Below are 10,280 nucleotides of genomic sequence, written 5' to 3' on the forward strand. Positions count from 1 at the left end.
AGAGGCAGTCAAACCTCATTTCAGACAGAAGATTGCCTGCATTATTTACATATAAATGCAACCTAGACATAACCTGATGCTGTGCTTTTAAAACATTTATTATTTATTATTAGTTTTTCATTTTTATACATTTACAGGGTGCAAGTGCAGTTTTGTTACATGGACATATTGAGTAGTGGTGAATTCTGGGCTTCTAGTGTACCCATCACCCGAAAAATGTATATTTTACCCAACAGGTCATTTCTTATCCCTCACTCTCCTCCCACCCTTGCACCTTTTGGAGTCTCCAATGTCTATTATTGCACTCTGTATGGCCATATTTACCCATCGTTTAGCTCCTACTTATCAGTAAAAACGTGATATTTTACTTTCTGTTTCTGAGTTATTTCACTTAAGGTAATGGCCTCCTGTTCCATCTGTGAGATGTGCTTTTAAAAATTAACAACAGGAGTTTCCTTGCCTATAGATTTAAAGATATTTATCCTTGTTATTAATTCATGCTGTCTCCGGTAAGGCACAAAGGCAGCTCATTAGTAATGCTCCAGCTCCCCACAGTGGGCACGTTGCTTACATGCACTTTGATAAGCGTCAGGGACTGACACCGAAGTGTTGAGTGAATCCCCTGAGTAGCCCTACCCTCTACTTCTGAAACCTTGATTCAGGTCCAAGGATCATGTGTAGGTGCAAAGCACCCTGTGCCACACTGGGACCTGGGAGGCTCATTTTCAGTACATCTACTTTGTTCCTTCTTTTTTCTGTAATGTGACAACACCACTGTGGCTCAAGCTTTCAGGTGGTCCCAATCTGCTCCCAGAGGCACTTTATCTGTGACTTTCCTAGCTGGGTAGTGCCCTTGATTTTCTGATCCCCAAAACATAGCTGCTTTGTGATTCATTCAGCACCCTACTGTCTGTGAGGTGACAGTGAACTAATTTGGTGAGAAACTGATTTGAAAACTAATTTGGAAGAAACTGACAGCAACCTCAGAAGGTGTGGCTTTCACCAGAAACATCTGACGCTTACATACTTACTATAGACCAATAATCTATAAATATAAAATGTAAATGTTATGTCCTTATTCTCCTTTGATGACAATGCCTTCATCAAAAGGAGAGCTGTTAGGGATTTCTGCCCTGATCATACCATGTGACTATATGACACCATTTTCAGGGAAGTTTCAAAGTGAGCGGAGTGAGGAGTTCTGCTCCCTTATGTCTTTGCCCAAAGAGGGAGTGGACGCAGACTCAGCAGAGTCTGCAGTCTTGGTACTGCAGGGATGGCTCCTCCTCTGTCCCTGTTCATCGTGCCATTGACAATTTTCAAAATCCTTTCATTTATACTATCTCATTTGAGCCTCTCAAAACCTCCTCTCCTTCCTTTCATGTCAGCTATGACCTGTTCAACAGATATTATAATCATAGGGAATGAAAATGGATGTTAACCTGAAAGGGAAATTAGTTTAAACCAAAATCTCTTTCCTTGTTGAAAGTCACAAGACAATTGCCCAGAAAAAAAAAAAAAAAACTTTAAAAACTGATATTGTAAAACCTTTTTTTGAGTGTTAGACAATAAAAGTGTCAGATAAAGAGACTTATCTCTCAAGTATTAATATTAAGTGCCCAATGGCAAAATAGCATTTACAGTTCTGCTTTTATTTTCCACCAAATCACCTAATAACATTTTCTAGCGTTTAATTGGTAGAAATTCACCCTTGGAGTAAAAGGTGAATGCTTAGTATCCTAAAGAGTGGGGTGAGGGAATGTGTTGTAATTTAATAAACTAGGAAACCAACTACATACATTCAAATCTTAATTTGCTCCAGAAAACGGCCTAGATCCCTGTTAATCTTTAAACATTAAAACAATAACCCTTTAAGATTATAAAATCAAAATTCTCTCTGCTAAAACCTTACCTTTGTCTGTCTTAACCATATTGCAGAAAATTCCAGCGACTTTACCATGACTGGATGAGTCATAAATAAAACCCATTAGGTCAGGTACTTAGAAATTAAACACACATAATTTCAGGGACAAATATAAAAGCTGGACCAAATCAGAGCCTGCAAGCCCTTAACGTTGCTTCTTTGCCTGGCCTTGGAATTGAAATGACTATGGGGATGAAGTGTCACTGGGGCATGTTGCAAAATGGAAAAGGAACCTGGTTAACAGGATCGCATTTGGAGAAGGAAAACTTTTGGATTCTGTTTCCAGGGCACATACATATGACCTGGTATGTGGGTATGTGCCCCCGATTTATTTCAATTAAATAATTTCTGATAACTATTTACAGCCTCATTGCCTTCAATATAATATCCTGCATGGCAAAATATGTTTTTCTTTAAAAATATTTATGTTTTTGCATATGATTACAGAGTGTGATTTTTGAGCATTGGTTTATTCAGCATTTGTGTCACTCTAAGAAAATAGAAAATAGTATCTAAGGAGTATATGAGCTCAGTACCAGCCCTGTTATACTGAACTCAGACTCTAATCCTAATCCCTGGTGGGTTTTTTTGTTTTTTGCTTTTGAGGCGGAGTCTCACCCTGTCATCTAGGCTGGAGTGCAATGGTGCGATCTCGGCTCACTGCAACCTCCGTCTCCTGGGTTCAAATGATTCTCCTGTCTCAGCCTCCGAGTAGCTGGGATTATAGGCGCCCACCACCACGCCTGGCTAATTTTTTTTTGTATTTTCAGTAGAGACGGGGTTTCACTGTGTTGACCAGGCTGGTCTCAAACTCTTGACCTCGTGATCTGCCCGCCTGGGCCTCCCAAAGTGCTGGGATTACAGGCGTGAGCCACCGCGCCCAGCCCCTGGTGGATTGTTTTACATTCAAATTAATAATGAACTCTACTGTCTTCAATCTAGCAAGATCTAGTCAGCACCATAGGAGAAAGTGCTGCCTTGGGAGCTGCAGGCATTGTTATTTGGGGAGACATGAATTTAACTGCATCCAAGGTAAGTCAGTATCTTGAAGGTATATTTAATGTTTTCTATTAAAAGTATTTCTCTGCTTTCTTGGAGAGCTTAATGACCTCCATAGCAAACCAGCTTTAGAATAAATATTCCAAATCAGTGCCTGATACATAGCAAAGGCTAAAAAATATTGTGAACTTTTATAAAGATAGTAATCATAACACTGACATTTGATGAATATTTATGATGCGCTAAGGTTGTGCTAAGAGATTTTTTGAGTCGGATTTGCTCACTTACTGGTCATATGAGGTAGTGACTATCATCCTCATTTACAGATGGTGAAACTAGAGAGGAAACCAACTAGGTTAATAACTATTTAGGATAGTTAGTGGTAGAGTTGGCATTAGCCACAGTTTGATGATGGACACCTTGCATTTAATGACTATAGAAAATGTGTTATATACTATTTTGAGAGGTAGAAACAGGTGGTAACTTTTTAATTCTCCACAATGAAGTTACTTTTTCCTCTACAGAGAAATCAGCTGAAAATTATCAGCATTTAAAATAAGATTTATGGCGGGGCACGGTGGCTCATGCCTGTAATTCCTGCATTTTGGGAGGTGGGATCACTTCAGGCCAGGAGTTCGAGACCAGCCTGACTGACATGAAGAAAGCCAGTCTCTACTAGAAATATAAAAATTAGGCGAGTGTGATGACACATGCCTGTAATCCCAGCTGCTCGGGAGGCTGAGGCAGGAGAATCACTTGAAGCTGGGAGGCAGAGGTTGCAGTGAGCCAAGATGACACCACTGCACTCGAGCCTGGTTCAAAGAGTGAGACTCCATCTCAAAAAAAAAAAAAAAAGAAAAAAAAAAGATTTATATGGCTCTTCAAATTTCTCTCAGCTGAGATTTTTTTTTACTCCAGGAAAGATTCCTAGTTTTCCCCAATCCACATTAATCACAATCTCTTCCATATTTCCAGATGCGGTTTGTTTATATTTCTATAATGTAATGCATTTTACCTTGAATACTGGCACCCTTGACACTTTTTGCTAAATTGAATTTTTTTGCAAGTCCATGATGATCTGATATTATTCTCAGAATTTCACAGTCTCAATTTGTTGCTACTGAGATAGTGTTCATGAAACTGTTTATGCCTATGCCCACATATGAGAATTAGGTAGAAACTGAGAGGATTAATTCCTGACTTTCCAGGTGTGATATTTCCACCCCAGTCCCTTGGTGGCTCGTCAGAAGAGCTTCATCAGGAAGGTGGGTGCACACAGGTGGCCTCTGTTTAGAACACGTAATAGGAACCATATACACAAAAGTTACTTAGCCATATAGGTTTTCATGTGTTTGAATTGTATTAGAAGTACAGGACCCAGGACAGTTGATGGAAATTAACAGGAAAATCCAGAAGGCTATAATACTTGGTAGAATGGTGGCATAAGATGATTTGACAATAAATGATGGACTATGATTCAGGCTCTAACACAACCAAGGAAGGCCCCACATACCTGAATGGTAGCTGAGGGCAGCAGTTCTGGTACATTCCTAATTTGGGTTTGTTCCTTTTCCTTTTATACCCATTAACTTGGGAGCTAGAAGGAAGAAAAAAAGAATGTAAATTGCAGAAAGGCAAGGTCTCATGTGCTGATTCTGGGGGCTATTTGCAAGTTCAGTTGCTTAGCCTGATTATAACATAGTATCCATCTCCTGCCCCTCAGACCTCTCCCCTTTCTGATTTGGGACCCTTGTTATAGTGCCCAGGAGCCTACAAGTTCAACAACTGAACCAAGCCATTATGTTTTAATCAAGACCAAAGAACTGTGCTAGAAGCTCTAATTCTATCAGTACCAGCGAGAAACACTAAAATCGATTTCTTTGTACATTTCTACCAGGGAGAACACACTAAAATTGATTTCTTCCTACATTTCTAGGCCAACTGTACAAAGGTGAAGCAGTTTGTGAGTTCTGATTTAGGGAGCTACATAGCCAATGTGACCAGAGCTGCTGAGGTATGCAGCCTTCACCTCTGCAGGAACAATGGCAGGTGCATAAGGAAGATGTGGAACGCGCCCAGTTACCTTCACTTGAACCCTGCAAGTTACCACATAGAGGCCTCTGAGGACGGGGAGTTTACTGTGAAAGGAAAAGCATCTGATACAGACCTGGCAGTGATGGCAGATACATTTTCCTGTCATTGTTATCAGGGATATGAAGGAGCTGATTGCAGAGAAATAAAGACGGCTGATGGCTGCTCTGGGGTTTCCCCTTCTCCTGGTTCACTAATGACACTTTGTCTACTGCTTTTAGCAAGTTATCGAAGCATTCAGTTGTGAGATAATTGAGTTTAAAGGGAATTGTGTGGCCTCTAGCCTAGTCATTTAAAGAAGGATGTAACTTATAACATTTTTTTTCTCTTATGAATTCTATTGAGAGATATTATAAGTAGACATTATGTATGTCACTTAACATAAACAGAAACATTATTTTATTTGCCTCCAGTCTGGCTAGGAAACCAGATCTGGGGTAAAGTCAATGTACACTTCCTCCTTATTGGAATATTTAAGTTGCATTTAAACTAAAACTAGTATAATTTAGTCTTTTCATGAATGTACATACATAAAATTATACATAAAAATATTAAATTATTCATTTCAAAGACTGTTTTTTCAAGTTGGCAATTTATTTAAGGACACATTACTAAGTAATCATCTGATTTAACAGAAGGGGTCACCTGGTCAACTGGTCCACTGAAGAGGACTAAATCCAGTTTCTATTCTAGCCTCGGGTTCACACTAGGTTTCTGTTTCCCACTTGGACTCATTAAATGCAGAACCATTCCTGGCATAGCTTCTCATGAGGGGCCGGAGACTGAGGTAAGGGGGAGCCATTACCAACTTGCAAAGCACCAATTCTAAGATGGCACTTGGAGTCCTTCCTTCGTAGACCCTGGCAGTCTGAACACTGTCAAGGCTTTGGGATAATATTCATGCTTACCTACCCTGACACTGCTGTAGATCTGGGAGCTGGAGCCATATTAGTAAAGATGCAGTTGGTGACTTTTGCAAGCAAAAATCATTATGTAGAAAACATGACATTTAAGGGGTCCAGAAGTGCTGTGGAAAAGGAGGCCTATGAGAAATGTTAGATATTTTTGCTTTCCCCTTCCCATGTATGACTTTTTATAGTGAATTTAGAGTCATTTTGAATCAATTTGAATCATGGTTTCACTACGTATCTAGTTGTGTGACCTTGGGAAATTTACCTACAGTCCCCATTTTGTTATCTGAAATTTAGTAATATAACTCCGACTTCAATTAATTATTCTGAGGAGTAAATGGAATAACATAGCCATTGCATACTTGGACTCCGCTGTTGATCCTCAACTGACTTTTTTTTTTTTTTTTTTTTTTGTAGTGATGGGGTCTTGTTTTGTTATCCAGCCCGGTCTCGGACTTCCAGGCTCAAGAGATCCTCTTGCCTTAGCCTCCCAAAGTTCTGGGATTATAGGTGTGAACCACGGCACCCAGCCTCAACCAACTGTTGATTACCAAAGTAATGGGAAAGTGCAGGATAAAACAGGGTCTTGGGCAATTTCTACTTCTTGATGCTATATTCTGTTTAAAATCACTTATACGCATTGTGTTTTTCTCTTGAGAGTCATGTTTAATTGATAGGACTTCCTTCTTCTGGAGACAATCTACTTGAAAGGTAAACTCAAAGTAAGTAATGATGCTGTTGTAGAAGAAATTATAGTTGATTCAACCTCCTTCTTCACCTCTGTTTTTCTGTGAAACATTTGAAATCCAGGTGTGTTCTTTTCAACTGCGAGTCTATGCTTGTTGGAGGTTATTGACATTGTTAAGGTCTAATTTCTAAATGTAAAAAACATAACAAAACAAAATGCTGTGAATGGTAGGTAGTATTGCATTGATTAGCTTTTTAAAAAATTAAACTTATTTCTATATCAAAGATGATACAATGAAATTATAGAAAATTTGTGAAAATAGAAAAAATGATAAAGGAAATCACCAATAATCACTATAACATAAACGGGTAACTTTTGGTATATTACTTTCTAATATTTCTTCTAAAGACCTTTTAATATGTTTGTAATAGTAATATATGCATATGCATTTTCACTTACCCATCCATTATAAGTAGTATCCGTGTTATTTCATAAACTTTATAGCTATTACTTAAAATCATTTTTAAGGCCACATAATGGTCTATCAACTAGATGTAACACAATTTAATTAACAATTTTCTGTATGCTGTGATTTTTTTTAAATGCCAAGCTTTTACTATTTAGTCACTTCATCAGAGAAAACTTTCCAGATCATCCTTCTAATTCATTCATTCACTCATTGATCAGTTTGTTTGTTAATCAATTTATTGAGCATTACACGTTAGTAGGTACTGCCTAAGCTTTGGAATACATCCTTGAACAAAACAGACAAAGAGTCCTGGCATCTTGGAATTTACGTTATAGCTCAGAGAAACATATTAAACACACAAATAAGCAATTTATATCATATGTTAGAAGGGGATAAGATTTATAGGAAAAAATATAGAGAGCAGAGTGGGGGAGGGAGGGATATTCTGTGTTTAGGCCTCATCAAGCAGGTGCCCATTTGAACGAAAACTTGAAAAAGGAGAGAGAGTTAGCCATGAGAATACTTGGGGGAAGGGTATGCCAGGCGCACAAATCAGCTGTTGCAAATTTGGTAGTGGGCCTGGTGTATTCCATTTTCTGTCGTTCCTTACTAGAATGTAAACTAGGAAAATGAGGACTTCACTTTGTTCACTGCTAGAACACTACTTGCTACAGTGTCTGACACTTAGTAGGTCTTCAACAAGTATCGTTAAATGAAGGAATTAATGAGTGATTCAGAAACCTGAATCGGTAGAACCTATAAATACGTTGTAATTTTTTTTTAACTCTGCACATCAGTAGTGAGTTATTACAAAGTTCTTCTCAAGCATTACTGTTCTATTTTTATCCTAGAAGATTAGCTTGTGAAATCACATATCCTCATTCCCCTGTGAAGAATTGAGACCTGGAGAGAATAAATCTCTTGACAAACTCAAATGGCGAGTTTGTAAAAGAGCCCAGTCTGTAATCCCAGTTGCTGAGCTTTCTTTCTATCATAACTTTGTCTTCCTCTTCTTGTAAATGAATCCAAATATACTTGTTCTAATTTTGAGCATAAATTTAATGCATTTTAACATTTTTCTTAATTTGGGCTGCTACTACTGGTTATGTTCAATCATTTCTCACATTTTGCAGCTGTAGATTACCTGTGCATTTAATTTGGCTCACTGCTCCTGGATAGGAAATCTACCTCCTACTCCGCTTGATGACCTCAGCTTCTTAGGATCATGGTAATTTTCCTTTACAGAAACAGCAAGATACCAGTCACTCTAATCTTTGGTGCTCTCCCTTATAAAAGGGAGATAATAATAATAATAATTTTTGTTCTTTTATACAGATTTAATGATATAAACTAGGTAACATAGCACAAAAGCTGACATATAAAACATTCTAGGAAATGTTAGCTGTTATTATGATGTACTTTCAATACTGGTTCTCATAAAAGTTGTGATAGGTAATATTATCTCTATTTTGAAGTACAAGAAATTATGTATAACTCAGAATAGTGAAATGACTTACTTAATATCACACAGCAGTTCCCAGGCTTTAAACCTTTACTTTTGAAACTTCAACTAATTTTCTTTCCATCAGATCTCCAGCAGAAACTATAGAAGACTTATTTGTACTTTTTAAAAACCAATTTACAAAGATATATAATTCACAAGTATAGTGATTCTGGTATCAGGCAGTCAGTGCTTTCTTTGACCCCTTGGAAGAAAAACTGTTAAATTAACTGGTCTACTAGCAATGTACCCATCTGACATACTCTAAGTATCTAAATTTTGTTTATTCATAAAGAAACCAGGACTCCTTAGGAAAATGTCTGATTCCAGGCCTATCTAAGACAGGAATTGCTCTAGATGAGTCTGGAATCTCTTCTTATAACATAAAGCAAGGAAGCTATCAAGGATTACTAGAATTGTATCAAAAGCACCCTTGAGTCAACTTAAAAGAGCCTCCCACTGTCAAACATGTGAAATTTGAAAATCACTGAAGAAATACTAACTGCAATGGGTTGAAATACATCAGATATATTTAAATCCATGAAGTCAAAATGATACTAAAACAAACCCAAAAATCTTTCATTGGCCACTTTTGAACAATATTAAGGAATCAACTCATTACTCTGAAAACTGATAATCAATCATTTATTCTGCATTTCCTACATAATCTGTACTTGAGGGTAACCAAATAGTGAAGGAGAGTAATTTCTTTTTATTCAAGCCAATAAACGGGGAAAGTATGATGTAATTAGAATAGAACAATTTTGTAACTTCTAATTAATGGATAGAGGCATTGACCCTCAATAGCTGCTAAAATCACAAAAAAGAGTCAACCAGACAATTATATACCACCTAGTTGAAGTATGAAACATCAACTAAGAATAATCCTTCCAGAAATCAAGCTGAAATTTGATCAGGCCTTTAAAATTTAGCTACTTCCGATGTTTTCAGCATGGTTTGGGAAAAAAAAATCTATCTACTAACTCAAGAAACATAAAGAATAAGGGAAAATGCTAAACAAGAAGTTAGAGATGACATCATCAAAATTTAGATCCTAGGGAATTCTACAGGACAAATAACTTGAATTTATCAACAAATAAGAAAAAAATGGCGAAGGAATCCATATGTATATCAACATGGAGCTTGCTAAATTATAGTACATCTGCATATTGGGGAAGTATTCAATTTTACAAAGAAATGAGGAATAACATCTCTATGCTAATCTCAAAAGATATCTAAAAATTATTTTGTTTAGACTTTATTTTGACTGCCATCTAATCATATTGAGAAAAACTCATGATCTCAGATATTAGAAATATATTTTTGGTCACATTCTAGAAAGACTTCCTGGAGACAGCTAAACTAAAGTTTCTTAAGCATGTACTGGGCCTGAAATTCTAAGGGTCTTAAGAATGTACTGGGTTTGAAATTCTATTACAGATAAAAAGCCATAAATGATTCAAGGAAATGATAATTTCATCAATAAAAGGAAACCAGGAGAAGCCATTTGAAGCCACACACAACAAATATAAAATCATATATGGTGCTGTTATTGTTTTTGAGATTTTGCTTATTCTAAACCTTGAACAGCAGGTCTGTTACAATATTATAATTATAAACTTATATGATAAAGATTTAATAATTGGAAAAATTAATTTTGTGCCAAAATGAATGTTAGTATTATGGTTTTCATTCCT

General features: G+C 36.9%; 1 protein-coding gene across 5 annotated transcripts in view; it reads left to right on the forward strand.

Annotated features, from left to right (window-relative positions):
- The window catches only part of HYAL4 (hyaluronidase 4), a 113,774-nt gene extending 108,187 nt beyond the window's left edge, over positions 1-5,587 (forward strand). For 4 of the 5 annotated variants that reach the window (XM_047420093.1, NM_012269.3, XM_011515990.2 and 1 more), the window contains 2 exons: positions 2,867-2,956; positions 4,860-5,587. In XM_047420093.1, coding sequence (XP_047276049.1) covers positions 2,867-2,956; positions 4,860-5,261 — 492 coding nt within the window. In that variant the 3' untranslated portion in view covers positions 5,262-5,587. The remainder of the gene's footprint in view (positions 1-2,866; positions 2,957-4,859) is intronic. The other variant, XM_024446703.1, reaches the window with a different exon arrangement.
- The last annotated feature ends 4,693 nt before the right edge of the window (positions 5,588-10,280 follow it).

This window comes from Homo sapiens, chromosome 7 (assembly GCF_000001405.40).
Source record: "Homo sapiens chromosome 7, GRCh38.p14 Primary Assembly".
Taxonomy (NCBI): Eukaryota; Metazoa; Chordata; class Mammalia; order Primates; family Hominidae; genus Homo; species Homo sapiens.